Here is a 21932-nt window from a genome sequence, read left to right as displayed (position 1 = left end):
TCAGTTTCACCAGAGACTTCAAAAACTGGCAGCTTCGGGCGTGGTAGCGGGCGCCTGTAGTCCCAGCTACTCGGGAGGCTGAGGCAGGAGAATGGCGTGAAACCGGGAGGCGGAGCTTGCAGTGAGCCGAGATCGCGCCACTGCACTCCAGCCTGGGCGACAGAGCGAGACTCCGTCTCAAAAAAAAAAAAAAAAAAAAAAAAAAAAAAAAAAAAAAAAAAAAAAAAAAAAAAAAAACGGCAGCTTCAGGTTTTGCTTCATTATATGAAAGTGAATGAATGGGATGATAGAAACCATTAAATCTTAGTGCTTTCTACCAGCTTCAACAGTGTTCAAAACTCTTCATCAGCAAGAGACTTTTCTACTCCCAATGCCTCAAAAACTTCTACAGAAGTTCCTGAGAAGTATACTTGTGAATTAGAATAAACATATCACAGGGGCTAGGCACGGTGGCTTATGCCTGTTATCCCGGCACTTTGGGAGGCCGAGGTGGGTGAATCACCAGAGGTCAGGAGTTCAAGACCAGCCTGGCCAACATGGTGAAACCCCATCTCTACTAAAAATACCGGAAAAAAAAAATAGCCAGGCGTGGTGGCACACACCTGTATTCCCAGCTACTCAGAGGTTGAGGCAGAAGAATTGCTTGAACCCAGGAGGCAGAGGTTGCAGTGAGCTGAGATTGTACCACTGCACTCCAGCCTGGGTGACACAGTGAGACACCATCTCAAAAAAATAAAATAAAATAAATACACAGATCACAGAATATTATTAACCTGAAAGAGAAAACTGGTGCCCAGAGAAAAGAAATGACTTGCCTAAGGTCAAAGAGAAAGGTAATAGTAGAGGACCCCGCTGTCCATCCTCACAGGGTCAGATGTGCTTTCTCCACCCACTTAGTCATTTAGCTGTCCAGTTAATTATTGAATGGGCCTCTTACATGTGTTGGACCTTGTTCAGTCACTGGGAAGTGGTTGAGTATCCAAAGAAGACACGATGTAATGGAGCTTCCCTTCTAGTGGAGGAAAATAGACAATAAAACCAACAAAGCAGCAAGAAAGCTGCATCTGGGATCAGTACTTACAGAGAATTAAAACAGAGGAATGTGATAGTGACTGGCTGACTATTACAGATGGAACGACCAGGGAAGCTCTCCCTGAAAGGTGACATTTCAGCTGAGACTTGAATGGCATGCAGGCGATTCATGTGAGAACCAGAGAGAGGGCATAAAAGCAGACAGGGATGGTTGGTGCCAAGGCCTGAGGCTGCTGACGAATGATGACGGAGGTGCAGCAGGGCATGGGTAGATAATACAGGACTCTGCACATCCGTGATAGGGTGTATGAATTTTATTACAAGTGAAATAGAATCTACTGGAGGGTTTTAAACAAGGAGTGATCTGAATTCTCTTAAAAAGATCATCCTGGCAGATGTGCAGAGACTGGATTAAAGGAGACAGGAGGATCAGGAAGAATAACTAATGGGTACTAGGCTTAATACCCAGGTGATGAAATAATCTGTACAACAAGCCCCCTATGTTTGTTACCTATGTAACAAACCTGCACATGTATCCCTGAAAAATTTTTTTAAAAAAAGAGGAAGAAAGAAATAGTTCTTCTGGGCCAAATGCAGATGGCTATAAGATACCCATGTGAGATACCAGCTAGATGACTGGATATAGAAATATACAAACCTGGTATTCCGGGAAGATGTTTGGGACAGGGGCATCCAATTGGGAGTTACTACCTTAGAGCTGTTATTAAAAAGTCATGGAATTGGATGAGGTCACCGGGCAAGAGGAGGAATGTTTGCAAAGGAACAGTCCACCCCGCTCCTTTCCAGGAGGAGCTCTGTGCTTTTTTCTCTCACACACAGCAGTTCTTTGACAGTGCTTGAAAATAACAAAGGAAGTGAGGTGACTCTCAGCGTCCTTAGACGCAGTGTGTTTGGAGTTGGTGCCTCTTCCCCATAATCAAAAGGCCCTCAGAGGCGAGACGCGAAGACGCACACTCCCTGTGATGTGCGGCAGAGTGAACCCTGGTCCCTCACTCAAGTCCTTCATAAAGGAAAAGAAAAAAAAATCCATCTGCTTCCACAAAACTGTTGAGTTTTACTTACTGTGCACAGGAGGAAAAAAGAAGCCGTAGCTCTTCCCTCAGAGCCCGGGATGAGGCTGCCCCCTCGTGTCCACTAACAGTCATGACCCGCTCAGCAATCCAAAATCCATTTTTCAAAGTTGGAGCACACACAGTTGCCTTTATTTCCTCCTTGCTTTTTCCTTAAATAAGCACCATTTTCTAGAAATCAATCCCACGAGTTCCAATTAAAGGAACATAGAAGCACAAGGAAACAAAAAAGGTCCAGATGACTTTAATCACCACTGGAACACCAAAAGGTGAGCTTTTAAAAAACACATCCTTCCTCCTAAAAGGTACTATTGTTTTTAGGGGCGAGGAAGAAGTCGAACTCAGTGACTCACCATAATCCCAACACTTTGGGAGGCTGAGGAAAGAGGGTCACTTGAGTCCAGGAGTTTGAGACCCACCTGTGCAACATAGCGAGACCTCTTCTCTACAAAAAAAAATTTTGAAAAATTAGCCCGGCGTGGTGCATGCCTGCAGTGCCAGCTACTCAGAAGGCTGAGGTGAGAGGATCGCTTGAGCCTGGGAGGTCAAGGCTGCAGTGTGGTATGATTGTACCACTGCACTCCAGCCTGGGTGACAGAGCAAGACCTTGTCTCAGAAAAAAAAAAAATAGAAAGAAAGAAAGAAAAGAAAAATAACACACATCGTTCCCTATCGCACAAGTTATAATTCTCAAGCAGTGATATTGATGGCTTAACAGATTCAGATACCTGGTGTTCCTTTAAGATGCCCTATGGAGTTTGATCTTGATGTGACTGGCAGGGTGATTAACCAGCGTCTTGATGTGGGCTCCCCTGAAAGCAGAACCTGAGACAAGGATTAGAGTGCAGGTGATGTCAGAAGCAGGAGTGTGGAAGGCCAGGAGCAAAACAGGAATGAGGAGAAAGCAGGTCTGGGTTATTGAGCTGTTTACCTTTCGGTCAACTGGAGCTCAGAACTACCAGGGAACTTCTGAGAACCCATGTAGAATTGTGCAGCTAAAGGGCAACAGTCTGGTGCCTTTTTCTTTTTTCTTTTTTGAGACAGAATCGTTCTTTGTCACCCAAGCTGGAGTGCCGCGATGCAATCATAGCTTACTGCAGCCTTGAACTCCTGGGCTCAAGCAAATCTCCCACCTCAGCCTTCCAAGTAGCTAGGACCACAGGCACATGCCACTGTGCCTAGTTATTTTTATTTTGGAGACACAGGGTCTTGCTATGTTGCCCAGGCTGATCTCAAACTCATGGCCTCATGTAAATCTCCTGCTTCGGTCTCCTAAAGTGTTGGAACTACAGGCATGAACCACCACACCCAGCCTCTGGTGACTTTTCAACCAGCTCTCGTTCCCTGTTGAAGGATTGTTCTCTTGCACATCTGGGATAAGGCAGTTGACTATCCTTCCATGGCTTTCGAGAGAGTCCTGAGGCAGAAGAGAATATGACCCACATGGAAATGCTTGAGTGAGATAGGGGCAGGAACAGGAACTGTCCACCTCCACTGGGCTGAAAAGGATGGGTTGAGGTGATGTGGCCTAGGTATGATCAGCATCTATGTTCTCCAGGAAGAGTCTCATCTTGAATAATTTAGAGGACAGGATGCCACATTTGCCATTTGCTACCTGTGCGAGCTTTGGCAAACTTCTTTTCCCTCTAAGCCTAATTTCTTCATCCATAAAGTAATTACAATGGTAGCTCTAATTAAATGCTCTTCTAAATAATAAATGTGTTAATATATGTGAGATTCCTAGTGCAAGAAGAAAAACACATTAAGTTGTTATAGTATTGTTAATAAAATAATAATTATAAGAGTAATATCTCATTTGCCTTACTGCTTTCTAATTTTGGTTCACATTTATTGACTCAATTTTGGTCTTGCTCTTACTCAGTTGCTTCTGTTTATTTAGACACATGGTGGTTGCCTTCGCTTGTTTCCTTTCTTTCTTCTTCCTTTCTTCCTTCCTAACAAATATTGATTGAGCCCTAACTGTGCTTCAGGCCCTGTGCTCACCTGACTCTATAATTCTTCTTTGTTTCTCAGGCTGTAGTTAGCATTCTTTCCTAAATTACTGGAAATTCATTGCTTGTATAAATACTGGCCCCAACTAACCCCTATTCTGCACCACACAAATACTTTAAAGTCTTGTCCTGCCACACTGGAAATGCAACAAAAAGACCAGAACTTACATCTAAATGAGCAGATAGTCACCTAGCAAAGTTGCACAATCCACCTCTCTGCACCTCCACCCCAAGCATGCATTTAGGGAATGGTACAGAGTTGGCTTATTGTTTTTTATGTATTTGAAGACAAAATTTTTTTGTTTTATTTGTAGGAATATGCAACAACACAAACAGAGGAGTTACCCAGCACTAAAGGCCACATCTTATTGTTCTTTTGCCACCCCACTTTATACCTACCCTAGCAACCTTCACTTAGTAAGTATAAAATAAGTATTACCTACTGTATTCCTTCATTTATCAAATATTGTAAGCACTCACTATAATTGATAATTGATGTAGTATGTGCTGAAGAAGAACACAAAGGTGGTTAAAATATAATTTGTAATATCAAGATCACTGTGGTCTACCAGAGAAGATAATATTAAGTGACTCTAACTATAAGGATGTGAGTAATGTGTGTGTCTTCTCTAGAGGACAGTAGAATCCTTTAGGGAAGAAACTCATGTTTGTAGTCCCCATGGCACATAGTAGGCTCTTCTACCCATAAGTACTGGCAGAAGAAGAATGGAAGAAAATAGAAAACTCAGTTGCTTCAATGGAAAGAGAATACAATCCACTGAAAAAGGATCTTGGAAAGGTTTTGTAATGGTCTGAATGTCTGTCCCTTCCAAAACTCACATTGAAATTTAGTTACCATCGTAACAGTGTTGAGAGGTGGGGCTTTTAAGAGGTAACTGGGCCATGTGGGCTCTGTCCCCATGGGTGGAATTACTGCTGTCATAAAAGTGTGAGTTTGGTCCCTTTTGTCTCAGCTCTTCCACTCTTCTGCCATGTGAGGAACAGTTTCCCACCTCCAAAGGATGCAGCCGTCAAGGCGCCATCTTGGGAGTGGAGACTGGGCCTTCACAAGGCACCATGCCTGCAAGTGCCTTCATCTTGAACTTCCCAACCTCCAGAGCTGTGAGAAATAAATTTCTGTTCTTCATAAGTTACCTAGTCTGTGGTATTCTGTTATAGCAGCACAAAACAGACTAAGACAAGTTTTATATATACATTGAATTGAAGTGGGTAATATTTCAATAGACAAAAAATGTGGAAAAAAAGAGTACATGAGGCCTGGTGCAGTGGCTCACACCTGTAATCCCAACACTTTGGGAGGCCGAGACGGGTGGATCACCTGAGGTCAGGAGTTCAAGACCAGCCTGGCCAACATGGTGAAACCGTGTCTCTATTAAAAATACAAAAATTAGCCAGGCATAGTGGCGGGCACCTGTAGTCCCAGCTACTCGGGAGGCAGGAGAATAGCTTGTACCCAGGAGGCGGAGGTTGCAGTGAGCCAAGATCATGCCACTGAACTCCAGCCTGGGTGACAGAGTGAGACTTTGTCTCCAAAAAAAAAAAAAAAAAAAATACAAGAAAGAAAAGAAAGAGTACGTGACCACCATGTGTTGTTTAACAATGGGGGATACATTCTGAGAAATGTGTTGCTAGGTGATTTTGTTATTGTTAGGACATCATAGAGTGTACTTACACAAACCTAGATGGTATAGCCTACTACATACTTGGCTATGTGGTAGAGCCATTGCTCCTAGGCTGCAAACCTGTACAGCATGGTACTGTGCTGAATACTGTAGGCAACTGTAACACAATGGTAAGTATTCATGTCTCTAAACATATCTAAACATAGAAAAGATAATGTGTTGTGCTACGACATTAGGACAGCCACTACATCACTAGGCAATAGGAATTTTTCAACTCCATTATAATCTTAGGGGACCACCGTTTTATATGCGGTCCATCATTGACTGAAACATTGTCCTGCAGCACGTGGCTATACCAGTCAAAGGAAGCATAAGCAAAGATACAGAGTCAGGAAATGTTTACGCACACCCTATGATAAAAGTATGCAGTATAATGAGAATTTAGAGGGTTTATCAGGGAGTAACAGAATAAGCTAGAAAGAGAGTTTTAGACCAATTAAATGATTGAATCTTATGCATGGGGATCCACTTATCATCAAATGCAATTAGCAGGGCACGGTGGGAGGAAGATTTACACCTTATTATTTACCAGAGAAAGGCTGTATTTTGTTTTACCATGAAAGGGACATTGTCCGGAATAGTGATTTCTATAATTTAGTCCACAAGTTTATGTTAGGAGCTATCTAGATATTACACATAGTATGTGAATTTCTATTCAAAAGATAATAGTCCATAGATTTTTTGTGAGATTTTGCTGCACCCATCACCTGAGCACTATACACTGCACCCTATTTGTAGTCTTATCCCTCACCCCCTTCCCACCCTTTCCCCCGAGTCCTCAAAGTCCACTGTGTCATTCTTATGCCTTTGCATCCTCCCACTTATGAGTGAGAACATACGATGTTTGATTTTCCAAAAGACATAGTCTATAGATTGAAGGAATAATGTTTTGTACACATTTGTAATATCTATATATAAGGTTTTAATTAAAAAATTCATTTAAAATAGCTCAACAATTTGTTCTCAATGAATGGAAAATATAAATACTATCAGTATATTAGCACTGATAATGGATCTAGAGATGATCAAATAAAAAATAAAACAGAGACTCTGAGTCTTCACAGATAATAATCTGGGGCAAGGTAACTAAAACTCACCATCCAAGTTTCTTTTTGTCCAGCTTTAACAACAACCACTGTTTGTTAGACACTATGCCTGGAGAACAGATGGAAGGAGGATTGATTGGAAGCTGTGAGACCAGTTAGGTAGCGACAGTGACAGTGATTTAAGTGAGAGATAATGAGTGTCTGAAGGTGATACCGGAAGAGTTAAAGAGGAGGAAGCAGCTACAAGAGATGATGTATTCGCAAAATAAAAAGGACTAACTAGATGAACAAGATTAACTGGGTGTGGCAATGAGGCATACATTGAGAATATCTCCTATGTTTCCAACTTGTACAGCTGGGAGAATTGTGATGCCTTTTTCTGCATGTTTGCTTGCCAGTGTGTGTCAAGAGGTGGAAGGAAGTGGTAAATGATGAGTTCAGTCTTCTTGAATTAAGGAGTATTTGGAACATCCAAGACAGACTATTTCAGCACACCTGGCCAATGACACACCCTACCAACAGCTGTGCCATTTTAGGTTCAAGCAGGACCTTTGTAACACTTATAAAAACAAAGTTTGAATTTTCAAAAAAGGGGAGAGTTGTTTCCCTCCATGAATCTGAGCAAAAAACCTCTCGCCAAGTCAATTCACTGGAAGTTTTTCTACTAACTCTTAGCTCCTCAAGGGAAGGCACTCTCTCATTTATCTCTGTTTCATCAGAACCTAGGCATTCAGGAAACGTTTGTTGAATTAATGTTAGAATAAATCTCTGTTCTATTATGAGTCTAAAGGACTGCTGAAAAGGAATCCAAGCCTGTAAACAGAGCTCTTTGGGATGGGGCAAGAGGAAGGAGGAGCTAAAGAAAGCACCTTTCAGGGTAGGCATGGTGGCTCACAGCTATAATCCCAGCACTTTGGGAGGCCGAGGCGGGAGGATCACTTGAGGCCAGGAGTTTAAGACCAGCCTAGGCAATATGGCAAAACCCGTTTCTACAAAATAATTTTTTTTTAATTAGTCGGCCTACTGGTATATGCCTGTAGCCCCAGCTACTCGGGAGGCTGAGGTGGGAGGATTACTTAAGCCCAGGAGGTTGAGGCTGCAGTGAGCTGTGATGAAGCCACTGCACTCCACCCTGGGCAACAGAGTGAGACTTTTGTCTTAAAAAAAAAAAAAGGGGGGGGCAGGGGGAGGTGATATCTCCAGAATATAACCAGTTGCTTCCTCCCACATTCATCCCCTGACCACTTGATTTCCATATAGAGTCTTAAACTAGAGATTAGCACATGTTTTGAAGAGGGGGAAGAAGAGGAGGAAAGGGAGAAGGAGAGAATAAGGAGTAGAAAAGCTGCCATGGTTCCCACTGGCTTTTCAGTGTATTCATTCCAGACATTTATGAGGCCTGGTTTTGTATTCTTGTGATGCTCTTCTATCCTTTTCCGTTTAATCTTAACTAAATTTAAAGAGTCTTCACTCTTAGGGGAATATCACACTCTGGGGACTGTGGTGGGGTGGGGGGAGGGGGGAGGGATAGCATTGGGAGATACACCTAATGCTAGATGACGAGTTAGTGGGTGCAGCGCACCAGCATGGCACATGTATACATATGTAACTAACCTGCACAATGTGCACATGTACCCTAAAACTTAAAGTATAATTAAAAAAAAGAGACTATTTCAAAGTGCAAATAAATGCAAATTATCTACACATTAAAAAAAAAAAAGAAGAGTCTTCACTCTTAAAACCAAATGGTTATGAACTTAGCAAATAGTGGATACTCAAAGCTGATGAAGAGGAAGCAAGGACAGAAAGCAATATCCTTACACAGGCTGGCTTTCATTCATGGGACTACTGAATGTCGGTTTTTCTAAAGCACTCAAGAATTTCATAGAGAAGCTCACCCGTCTTCATACCTGAAGATCAGCAGAAACATTTGAAAAATTAAAGAGGGCCCAAATTTTGGGTCAGTGACACTCCTGTTCCCAAAGGGTGACCCAGTCCCTGTGGGGATTGAGTCTGATATGGGATAATGTGAAGGACCTGGGCTAGACCATCAATCTTGGCCACAGCCTATGGTGTTTGAGAGAAATAGAAAGGAGACAGTAGAGAGGAAAAACTGAAGGCTGAATTCAGCTGATAAGGAATTAAAATGGGCCTCAAGAATGAGTAAATTCATATAATCCATGGAATAGGTCACTTGGGGCACTCTACTAAGACACTGGTATAACAAAGCTAGCTAAACATGGGTGTTCAAATGCACTTCCCTTTTTTAATAACAATGCAGCTTGAAAATAGGAAAAATATTCATCCCCAAAGAATTCTCTGGAGGAGCTGGAAAATTACCTGCCTCCAGCTGGTACCTTGCTCTGTTAATGATTTGTATACAGGTGAACAAAAGGTTCAGTGCTCCTATTAATTACCTAAAAAGGGATTAATCTTCTTTTCACCAGGGAATTAGGAAATCAAGAGGTACATTGCCTAATATTTCTCTGTATCACAGATGTCAGAAATAAGTGTTCTTTCTTGTACACGCACCATACTTTTCCCCAGTTTTCTTTCTACCCCCATTCTGTACACCAGTCTAGCACATTGGGAAGAAATAAATACATATTTGTCTTGGTTTTTGCTCAAATCCTGGAGGTAGAAATGATGGGGCATGAACTTTGTAAGCCAAAGCACATGGTAGATAACCGTACCTTTCACTTCACCATCAGAATGTCCCCTTCCCCCTACATTCTCTCATATCAATCACTCCCTGAACTGTATTTCACTTCAACTGGTCATGGGGTCCTCAAAGTGTCCACAGCCTTTTAAAAAAAATTTTTATTTTAGGTTCAGGGCTACATGTGTAGGTTTGTTATACAGGTAAATTGTGTGTCACTGGGGTTTGGTGTACAGATTTCCTCACCCAGAATTCAGAATAGTACCTGATATGGTTTGGCTCTGTCCCCACTCAAATATCATCTTGTAGCTCCCACAATTCCCACCTGTTGTGGGAGGGACCCAGTCGGGGATAGTTGAATCGTGGGGGCGGATCTTTCCTGTGCTGTTCTCGTGACAGTGAATGTGTCTCACGAGATCTGATGGTTTTATAAACGGGAGTTTCCCTGCACAAGCTCTCTCTTTGCCTGCTGCCATCCATGTAAGATGTGTCTTGCTCCTCCTTGCCTTCCACCATAATTGTGAGTCTTCACCAGCCATGTGGAACTGTAAGTCCAATAAAACTCTTTCTTTTGTAAATTGCCCAGTCTCAGGTATGTCTTTATCAGCAGCAGTATGAAAATGGACTAACAAAGTATCCAATAGGTAGTTTTTCAATCCTCATTCTCCTCCCACCCTCCACCTTAAATTAGGAGCTGGTATATACCATTCCTTTCTTTGTTTCCATGTGTGCTCGATGGTTAGCTCCCACTTATAAGTGAGAATATGTGGCATTTGGTTTTCTGTTCCTGTGTTAGTTCACTTAAGATAATGGCCTCCAGCTCCATCCATGTTGCTGCAAAGGACATGATCTCATTATTTTTTATGGCTGCATCATATTCCATGGTGTATATATACCACATTTTCTTTATCCAGTCTACCATTGATGGGTATTTAGGTTGATTCTAGGTCTCTGCTATTGTGAATAGTCATGGAGTTTTCTTAAATAACACTAGGCTTACTCACTTACTACACTGCCTATGGTTGGAGTCTTAACTTGAATAGCCTACAGCCTTACAATTCACCTTCCATTAATGACCTCAACTCTAAACTGTAATGTAGATTTTCCCCCATCTTCATTGCCTTGTGCAAATATCCCACCAGAAACAACATTGTTTCAGGGGCATTGTACCACATTCCAATTGCCAAGAAGAAGGGCTTGCCGGAATGTTCACCCCAAATCAAGTAATACTGAATAGAATTTAAATCAAATAGGTATATTCTATAAGATATTTTTTGTTTTTCTGAAAACTGTTCATGTGTGTCATTATGTTCAGGACTTGTAATAATCAGCACTTGTAATGACTTAGATGGAGATGTAAATGGTAAGAGCTCAGCCTTGCAAATAAAGTGAAGATGTGGGGGAAAGAAACTATTGAATGAAATGCAATATGCAACTGTCTATTAAATATGAATAAATTGCTTTAAACTTAAATCTTACTATTTTATCATAAAAACCCCTATAGAAGAGTTCAAGGCTGCAGTGAACTATGATTGTGCCACTGCATTCCAGTCTGAAAAACAGAGTGAGACTCTGTCTCAAAAAAAAAAAAAAAAAAAAAATCCCTGTAGAGTTGCTATTGTTATTACCATATCTCTATCTCATAAAGTATTAGGCTTTATCATCCCTAGAGCATACATGAAAAAATCTACTGAATCTGAGAGAAGGGAACAGAAAAAAAACAACAAAACACCTCCACTCCTGGGGAAGAGGCAAGAACACATGCTGAGCCTAGACGATTAGAGATCTCCTTCCCCGGGTGAGGTGGCTCATACCTGTAATCCCAGAATTTTGGGAGGCCAAGGCGGGTGGATCACTTTGAGCCCAAAAGTTTGAGACCAGCCTAAGCAACATGACAAAACCCTATCTCTAAAAAAGTACAAAAAAATTAGCCAGGCATGCTAGCACATGTCTGTGGTCCCAGCTACTCAGGAGGCTGAGGTGGGAGGATTGCTTGAGCCCAGGAGTTAGAGGCTGCAGTGAGTCGTGATCACACCACTGCACTCCAGCCTGGGCAATAGGGCAAGACCCTGTCTCAAAAAGAAAAAAAAAAACAAAAGCAGTTTATACTATCACATTTGGGATTAACTTAAAAAATATATATCTCCTCTAGCTGAGGGGGAGGGGAGCAGGACCCCTACAGGAGCTCATCCTCAAGACCCACAGCAGAGTGCCTGTCTGATATGGAGGCTTCGTCAGAACAACAGAAAACATGAGCCCTCTGCTGCTCCCACCCCACCAGTGGCCTATTGCTGGAGAGAGGCAACAGGGAAGATCTAAAGCTGGTGGTAGAGGCTGGGCACGGTGGCTCACGCCTGTAATCCCAGCACTTTGAGAGGCCAAGGCAGGTGCATCATCTGAGGTCAGGAGTTCGAGACCAGCCTGGTCAACATGGTGAAACCCCATCTCTACTAAAAATATAAAAATTAGCTGAGCACAGTGGTGCACACCTGTAATCCCAGCTACACGGGAGGCTGAGACAGGAGAATCACTTGAACCTGGGAGGCAGAGGTTGCAGTGAGCCAAGATCACATCACTGCACTCTAGCCTGGGCGACAGAGCTAGACTCCACCAAAAAAAAAAAAAAAAAAAAAAAAAAAAACACCAAACCTCTGGCAAACCAGCCCTATCTTAAATAAAAAGAAAAACCAGAGGAATTTGAAGCCTACGGTATATCGAGGATGTTTGAATTGTTTCCCCCAAAAAAAGATATGTTGGTAAATTTCAAGTGTTTCTTATCATAAATTTTTTAAGTATTTATTTGGCACAAGAGGTAATATGAGACAGATGGCTAGGAGACCACCTACTGAGCCTAGCCTGAGGACAGGGGTAAGTAGAGGGATAGGTTTTAATTTCAAAAGGTAATAGAGCTAACCAGTCAACACTTCCCTCCTCAGTCCTTTCTCTTTTGGGTACAGGTGAGTATAAACTCTTACCAACTATCCTAATTAACAAACAAACCATAGCAAAAGATGTCTATGCTTTTTCTCTTCAGAACAAAGGGCATGGGTAATCTTTCTTAGACGGCTTCCAGGACTTAAGCCAGGAAGGGAACTTGAGTCTCTTACCTCTCTGTAAGGCATCCATCTTCAATACGCAGAACTAAAAGAGAGATATGGTGGAGTCCTAACTCCAAGGACCTCAGCCTGTGACCTTACTTGGAGACAGAATCTTTACAGAGGTAGGCAAGTTAAAATGAGGTCATTAGAGTGGGCCCTAATTCAATATGACTGGTGTCCTTATAAAAAAAGAGAAATCTGGACACAGAAACAGACAAACAGAAAGTGATATGAAGAGACACAGGAAGAAGGTGGCTGTCTACAAGCCAAGCAGAGAAACTAGAACAAATCCTTCCCTCACAACCCTCAAAAGGAACCAGCCCTGCCAACACCTTGATTTAAGACTTCTATCATCCAGAATTGTGAAACAATAAATTTCTGTTGTTTAAGCCAGCAGTCCCCAGCCTTTCCTTTTTGAAAACAGGGACTGGTTTCATGGAAGATAATATTTCCATGGATGGGGAAGGGAGGTTTCAGGATGAAACTGTTCCACCTCAGATCATCAGGCATTAGTTAGATTTTCATAAGATGTGCACAGCCTAGATCCCTCGAGGGCATGCACAGTTCACAATAGGGTTCACGCTCCTATGAGAACCTAATGCCACCACTGATCTGACAGGAGGCAGAGCTCAAGTGGTAATGCTCACTCACCCACTGCTCACCTCCTGCTGCTCAGCCCAGTTCCTAACAGACCACTGGCCAGTACTGGGCTGAGGCCTGGGGGTTGGGGAAGCCTGGTTTAAGCCATTCCATTTGTTACTTTGTTACAGCAACCCTAGCAAATTAAGAGAGATGATAACCACAGAAAAAAATTAATTCCAAACCCAACTCAGCTCATGGCTAGGTTGACTCAACCACTATACTAAAGGCCTAGCAGAAGGAAAGGCATGCACATTTCCATGATAAAAACTATTTGCTTCAGTCTCTACAATACTAATGCTATCTGGCTTTCAATCAAAACTACTAGGCATACAAAAAAGACAAGCAAAAAAAATACTGTCAAGAGACAAGGTAATCAACAGATTCAGACTCATATATGACACATGCTGAAACTGACAGGGAATTTTAAATAATTGTGTTAATGGCTATAGCAGAAAGATGGACAGCATGCAAAATCAGACGAATTATTATTTCAGCAGACAGATGGAAGTTATAAGAAATAATTAAGGCCAGGTGCAGTGGCTCATGCCTGTAATCCCAGTACTTCAGGAGGTCAAAGTGGGAAGATCACTTAAGCCCAAAGGTTTGAGACCAGCCTGGGCAACACAGCAAGACCCCATCTCTACAAAAAATTTAAAAATTAGCCAGGCATGGTGGTGTGCACCTGTGATTTCAGCTACTCAGGGGGCCAAAGCAGGATTGCTTGAGCCTAGGAGGTTGAGACTTCACTGAGGTGAGATCATGCCACTGCACTCCAGCCTGGCCAACAGAGTGAGACCCTATCTCAAAAAAGAAAGAAAGAAAGAAAGAAGTGCTAGAAAGAAAAAACACAGCAACAGGGGTGAAGAATGCCTTCAACAGGCTAATCAATAGACTTGACACAGCTGAAAAAAAATTAGTGAACTTGACTATACATCAATAGAAATTACCCAAACTAAAACTTGAAGAGGAAAATGAGAGAGAAAAAAATAGAATGTAGCATCCAAGAGCTGTAGGAAAATATCAAATAGTTGATTATTCATGTAACTGGAATCCTAGAAAAAGAATCCCATTTATTTTCCAGGAAAAGAAGAAGAGCAAGGTAGAAAAATATCCAAAAAAATAATGATGAAGAATATTTCAAAATTAATGACAACACCTGTGGTTTGGCAGGATGATACCAAGCAAACATACCTATGCACATCCTAATAAAACTGCTAAAAAGGAAAGACAAAGAGAAAATATTAAAAAGCAGTTAGAGGGGGAAAGACACATTGCATGAAGAGAAACAAAAATGAGAATTACAGCAAACTTCTTGTCAGAAACTATGCAAGCCTGAAGATAATGGAATAACACTTTTTAAAGGGCTAAATGGGAGGAGTGGTCAACCCAGAATTCGATACCCAGTGAAAAAATCTTCAAAAAATAAAGGAGAAATAAAGGTTTTCTCAGACAAAAAAAAAAAGAGAATTTCTTACCAGTATAAAAATTTTAAAGGAAACTTTTCAGGCAGAAGGAATATGACATCAAAAAGAAACTTGGATCTACACAAAGAAACAGTCTCTGAAATGGAATGAATAAAAGTAAATATAAAATTAGTTTCTTTACTTCTATGTCTAAATGAAAACTGACTGCCCAAAGCAAAAATAATAACAATGTAAAACAGCATATGTCAAAGTAACATAATGTATTGGGAATCCAGGACTTTGGCCTCCCAAAGTACTTAGAAGAAAGTATTAGGAGTATAGTGCTGTAAGATCTTTACGCTACACGTAAAGCAGTATTGTATTATTTTAAAGTAGATTCTGATTAATTTAAAATGTATCAGTCCGTTCAGGCTGCCATAACAAAATACCATAGACTGGCGGCCTAAAGAACAGAAATTTATTTCCCATAGTTCTAGAGATAAGGAAGTCCAAGTTCACTGTGACAGCTGATTAAGTTTCTAGCGAGGGCTCTCTTCCTGACTTGGAGACAGCCACCTTCTTGCTGTCTTCGCATGGTTGGGAGAGAAAGAACAAGCTCTCTGGTGTCTTTTCCTATAAGGACACTAATCCAATCAGACTAGGGCCCTACCCTCATTGATCTCCTCTAACACTAATTACCTCCCAAAGGCCCTATCTCTGAATATAATCATGGTGAGGGTTAGGGTTTCAACATATGAAATTTGTAGGGACGCAAATATTTGGGTCCATAATAGATGTATATTGCTGACCCTAGGGCAATCACTTAAAAATGATTTCAAAAATGTATAATATGCTAATAGTGCAGAAAATCGGAAACAAAAATATTCAGTTCAAAAGAAGCCAGAAAAAGAAAAAAAAATGAAACAAACAACAGAATAGAAAACTAGCAATATGGGAGATTTTCATCTAACCATATCAATAATTACATTAAAGCAAACAGTCTAAATACACCAATTATAAAACAGAGATTGTAACATGGGATTAAAAAGCAGAACCCAATGATATGTGAAACCAACTTCATATATGAAGCCATAGATTAAATTTAAAGGAAAGGAATAAAGATGAATCATGAAAACAATCATCAAAAGAGAGCTTGAGTTGTTTTACAAATATACAAAACAGACTTCAGAATAAGGAATATTTCTGGAGATAAAGAGGGTACCACATAATGACAAAGGGATCAACTCTTCAAAAAGACATCACAATGCTGAAAGTGTATGTAGTTAACAACAGAGCTTCAAAATGTATGAAGAAAAAACTGATAGCACTCGAAGAGAAAAGGAAAAAAACTCTACAGTTTATAGTTGTGAACTTCAACACTTCCCTCTTAGTAACTGATAGAACAAGTAGACAGAAAATTGTAAAGATAGACAAGATTTGCAGGACACTATCAACCAATATGATTAAACTGACACATAAAATGCTTCACCCACAACAGTAAAATATACAGTCTCTTTATATACACATTATCCAAGACAGATCATATTCCGGGCCAAAAAAAGAAATGTTAACAAATTTTAAAGAACTGAAATTATATAAAGTATTCTCTGTAAACATAATCGAAATATAAGTAAACACCAGAAAGATATTTGAGAAACCTCCCAATGTTTGCAAAATAAATAATGCACTTCTAAATAACTCATGGGACAAAGAAAAAATCACAAGGGAAATTGGAATGTATTTTGAGCTGAATTAAAATGAAAACACAATACCAAGATTTGCAGGATGCAGCTAAAGAAGTATTCAGAGGGAAATCTGTAGCACTGAACATCCACATTACAAAAAAAAAATTCTCAAATCAATAACCTCCCCTTCTACCTTAAGAAACTAAAAAAGTAAGAGAAAATTCAATCCCAACCAAAAGAAGAAAGAAAATAATAAAGACTAGATCAAAAATCAATTTTAAAAAATTTAATAGAGAAATAATGAAAACAAAAGCTTGTTCTTAAAGAAGGTCAATAAAATTGACAAACCACCTGCCAAATTGATCAGGAAAAAAAAATTACCAATACCAGATAAGAGAAGTGAGAACACAATAAATTCTATAGATATTAAAAGGAAAATAAGGGTATGTTATCAACAACTTGGCCAGGCACAGTGGCTCACACCTGTAATCCTAGCACTTTGGAAGTCTGAGGCAGGAGGATAGCTTGAGCCCAGGATTCAAGACCAAGGCTGGAAACATGGTTAAACCCTGTCTCTACACATAATGCAAAAATTATCTGGGTGGCGTGATGTGCACCTGTAGTCCCAGCTACTCAGGAGGTTGAAATGGGAGGATCACTTGAGCCCAGGAGGTCAAGACTGCAGTGAGCTGTGATTGCACTTCTGCACTCTAGCCTGGGTGACAGAGCAAGACTCTGTCTCAAATAGATTAAATGGTAGATAGATAGATAAAAATAAACAATGTAGGCTGGGTGCAGTGGCTCACACCTGTAATCTCAGCATCTTGGGAGGCCAAGGCAAGTGGATAACTTGAGCTCAGGAGTTTGAGATCATCCTGAATAACACGGAAAAATCCTGTCTCTACAAAAACTACAAAAATTAGCTGGACATGGTGGCTCAGGCCTGTAGTCTCAGCTACTCAGGAGGCTGAGGTGGGAGGATCACTTGAGCCCAGGAGGTGGAGGATATAGAGAGTCAAGATTGCACCTCTGCACTCCAGCTTGGGTGACAGAGTGAGACCCCACCTCAAATAAATAAATAAATAAACAGCTTTATGCCAATAAAGTTGACAACTTAAAGGAAATGGACAAATTCCTTGGAAGACACAAACTAACAAAGCTCACTGAAGGAAACATACATAACCTGAATAGCCCTGTGCCTATTAAAGAAATTAATTGGCAGTTAAAAAGCCTTCCCACAAGGAAAACTCCAGGCTCAGACGGCTTCACTGGTGAATTCTACCAAGCATTTAAGGAAGAAATAATACCACTTTACACAAACTTTTCCAGAAAATTGAAGAAGATAGAACACTTCTCAACTCATTCTATGAGTCCAGCATTACCCTGATACTCTGATAAAGGATCCAAGAAAACTACTGAATAATACACCCTATGAATACAGACACGAAAATTATCACCAAAATATTAGTGAATAAAATCAACAATAAACCAAAAGTATAATCGATTATGACCAACAGGAATTTATCTCTTGAACACAGAACTGATTTAATATTTGAAAATCAGTGTAATTCACCATAACAACAGACTAAAGAAGAACAATACAATCATCTTGATAGATGCAGAAAAAGCCTTTGGCAAAATTCAAAACCACTCATGATACAAGCTCTCAGGAAACTAGGAATAGAAGGGAACTTCCTTCACCTGGTAACAGGTAATGTCTAATGGTGAAAGGAGAAATGCCTTCCAGACTGGGAGCAAGGCAAGAACTACACTCTTTTTTTTTTTTCTTTTTTCTTTTTTTTCTTTTTGAGACGGAGTCTCGCTCTGCCACCCAGGCTGGAGAGCAGTGGCGCGATTTTGGCTCACTGCAAACTCCGCCTTCTGGGTTCAAGCGATTCAGCTGCCTCAGCCTCCTGAGTAGCTGGGATTACAGGCATGGGCCACCATGCCCAGCTAATTTTTGTATTTTTAATAGAGAGGGGGTTTCACCATGTCGGCCAGGCTGGTCTCGAACTCCTGACCTCAGCCTCCCAAAGTGCTGAGATTACAGGCTTGAGCCACCGTGCCAGGCCAAAAATTACACTCTTATCACTGCAATTCAACATTCCATGAAGGAAAATACTTGCAAATCCGATATCTGACAGAAAAACTGTATTCGGAATGCATATATAACTCTTGAAATAAGAAAACAAACTACATGCGATGCCTGAATATGCATGTCCCCTCCCTGAAAAATTCCTGTATTGAAATCCTAATCCCCTTAAGAGGTGGGACCTTTGAGGAGGTGATGAGGTCAGAAGGCACAGCAGCAGAGCCCTCATGAATGGGATTAGTGCCCTTATAAAAGACTCCAGAGAGCTGCCCTGCCCCTTCCACCATATGAGGACACAGCTAGAAGGTGCCATCTATGAGCCAGAAATTAGCCCTCAGCAGACACTGAATCTGCCGCTATTTAGAAGCTGCCCAGGCTATGGTATTCTGTTATAGCAGCCTGAAAGGATGAAGACACAACAAAATAAAAGAAGTGGACAAAATATCTGAGCAGACACTTCACCAAAGAAGAGATGCAAACTGAATGAAAATCACATGTAAAGATTCTCAGCATTATTGATCATTAAGTAAATGCAAATCAAAACCACGTGATACTACTGTACCCCTATTGGAATGACTAAAAAAGAAAGAAAAACCAACAATACCAAGAGTCAGTGAGAACGCACAGCAGCCAGAATTCTCCTACATTGCTGGTGGGAATGCAAAATGATACTGACACTTTGAAAAATAGTAGAGCCGTTTCTTATAAAGTCAAACATATGCTTTCAGACAACATAACAATCCCACGTATACGTTTTTACCCAAGTGAAATGAAAACCTATGTTCACACAAAAACCTGTATGCAAATATTTACAGCAGTTTCCATCGTCTTTGCCAAAAACCGGAAGCAACTCAAATGTTCTTCAACTGGGAAATGGACAAACTGTGGTACAGCCATACAATGATATACTGCCCAGCAATTTTAAAAAGAACTGATATACACAATAACATAAATGAGGCCGGGCATGGTGGCTCACGCCTGTAATCCCAGTACTTTGGGAGGCTGAGGCAGGTGGATCACTTGAGGTCAGGAGTTTGAGACCAGCCTTGCCAACATGGTGAAACCCCATCTCTACTAAAAACACAAAAATTAGCCAGGTGTTGTGGCGGGCACCTGTAGTCCCAGCTACTCAGGAGGCTGAAACAGGAGAATCACTTGAACCCAGGAGGCAGAGGATGCAGTGAGCCAAAAAATAACACAAACGAATCTCAAATGCATTATGCCAGCAGTCCCCACTCTTTTTGGCACCAGGGACCGGTTTCGTGGAAGACAATTTTTCCACAGACGAGGAGTTGGGGGTGAGGGGCAGGGGGATGGTTTTGGGATGATTCAAGCGCATTATTGTGTACTTTATTTCTATTGTTATTACACTGTAATATATAATGAAATAATTATGCAAGTCACCATAATGTAGAATTAGCGGGAGCCCTGAGCTTGCTTTCTTGCAACTAGACAGTCCCATCTGGGGGTGATGGGAGACAGTGACAGATCATCAAGCATTAGATTCTCATAAAAAGCACGCAACCTAGATCCCTCGCATGTGCAATTTACAATAGGAACTGCATGCTCCTATGAGAATCTAATGGCACAGCTGATCTGACAGAAGACGGAGCTCAGGCAATAATGTGAGCTATGGAGAGCAGATGTAAATAGAGATGAAGCTTCACTCGCTCACCTCCTGCTGTGCAGCCTGCTTCCTAACAGGTCACAGACTGGTGCCAGTCCGTGGCCCAGGGCTGGCGACCCCTGCATTATGCTAAGTGAAATAAGCCAGATCTAAAATGTTAACATTGTATGGTTCCATTTATTTAATATTCTTAGAAAGGCAACGTTCTAAGGACAGAAAACATGTTAGTGGTTGTCAAGAGTCCAGGTTAGAGGGAGGGATTGACTAAAAGGGGGCATAGGAGAATTTTGGGGGGTGATGAAACTGTTTCATATCTTGATTACAATAGTAGCCACATATCTATATATTTGTCAACATTCACAGAAATATACACTCTAAAGGGTAAATTTTAATATATGTAAATGTTAACTTATTTTAAACAGGAAAATGCTATTGGCATGTAGTGACAAATCATTAAAGCTAATAATAGACTTTTTTTCTTTTTCCCCAAGATGGAGTCTTGCTTTGTCACCTAGGCTGGAGTGCAATGATGCGATCTCGGCTCACTGCAAGCTCCGCCTCCCAGGTTCAAGCAATTCTCCTGCCTCAGCCTCCCAAGTAGCTAGGATTACACGCACGCGCCACCACGCCCAGCTCATTTCTTGTATAATTTTAGTACATGGGGTTTCACCATGTTGGCCAGCTGGTTTTGAACTCCTGACCTCACGATCTGCCCGCCTCAGCCTCCCAAAGTGCTGGGATTACAGGCGTGGGCCACCGCTCCCGGCCAATAATAGACATTTTTAAATCTTAAAATTATAAATCAAGTATTTACCATACATAGAGTACCCAGTAACCGACAAATACTCTATATAATTATTTCTAATACTTACAAAAGTCCTTCAAATATGTACCATTACCCTTTCTATTAAGAAACTGATCTTCAAAAAAATAGAAGGACCTCCTAATAAGTTATGGAGCAAAAATGCAAATCCAAATTTTCTTGGTTTAAACTACAAAATAGGCCAGGCATGGTGCCTCATCCCTGTAAATCCCAGCAATTTGGGAGACTGAGGCAGGTGGATCACTTGAGCTTAGGAGTTCGAGACCAGCCTGGGCAACATGTTGAAACCCCATCTCTACAAAAAATACAAAAATTAGCCAGGTGTAGTGTTGCACGTCTGTAGTCACAGCTATTCAGGAGGCTGAGATGGGAAGATCCCTTGAGCCTCGGAGGCAGAGGTTGCAGTGAGACAAGATTGAGCCACTGCACTCCAGCCTGGGCAACAGAATGAGACCCCGTCTCTAAACAAAGAAAGAAAGAAAACCTAAATAAAAATTGTTGCACCACCAAAACATGTCATTATTTTCACTTTCAAAAGATCAGCTCAGATTAACTGCAATTAGAACCTAAGAGTTTTAGTTGGCTACAGGTCATGTTGAGCCCCAACCCTGTGCTATGTCTGCTCAAACAATAAATTGGATAACAAACTAGATTAATAAATGAGGTCTGCACTATTCAGACATCTGGAACATGATGTCCACATCTGCGCAGGTGGAGTATATCCTTAGAATGCTATCATAGAAGAGAACTGAAGAAAAATGTAATTTTTTGAAAAGAAATATCCCATAGATGGTAGTCTCTCTGAGTCTTACTTAGTCTTATTCATGTAGTTACAGAAACCATAGCAAGGATCAATGTGTAGTGGTTTCTAGGACGTAGATTTTGGTCTCATATCGCACTTGCATTGTTTTCTCACAAGCATTCAATATGGAGTAAACTGTCTGAGAACACAGTGATAGCCCCATCTTTCAAGGTATTCAAGGAGAGACACAAATCAGGAATGCTGTAGAGAAGTTAGA

The 21932-nt window shown here is 41.0% G+C and overlaps 1 long non-coding RNA gene across 2 annotated transcripts in view; it reads right to left on the bottom strand.

Moving 5' to 3' along the window:
- LOC107984867 (uncharacterized) overlaps positions 1-21932 on the bottom strand; it is a 114037-nt gene that overhangs the window by 47085 nt on the left and 45020 nt on the right. The window contains exon 3 of one of the 2 annotated variants that reach the window (XR_001752228.2): positions 2767-2948. The exons of the other annotated variant lie outside the window; for it this stretch is intronic. This is a non-coding gene — a long non-coding RNA (uncharacterized LOC107984867). Of the gene's footprint in view, positions 1-2766; positions 2949-21932 lie in introns of those variants that run through there. 2 annotated transcript variants of the gene reach the window in all.

This window comes from Homo sapiens, chromosome 16 (genome assembly GCF_000001405.40).
Source record: "Homo sapiens chromosome 16, GRCh38.p14 Primary Assembly".
NCBI lineage: Eukaryota > Metazoa > Chordata > Mammalia > Primates > Hominidae > Homo > Homo sapiens.
Note: the sequence above shows the minus strand (reverse complement) of the source record. Positions and strands in the feature narration are given on the sequence as shown.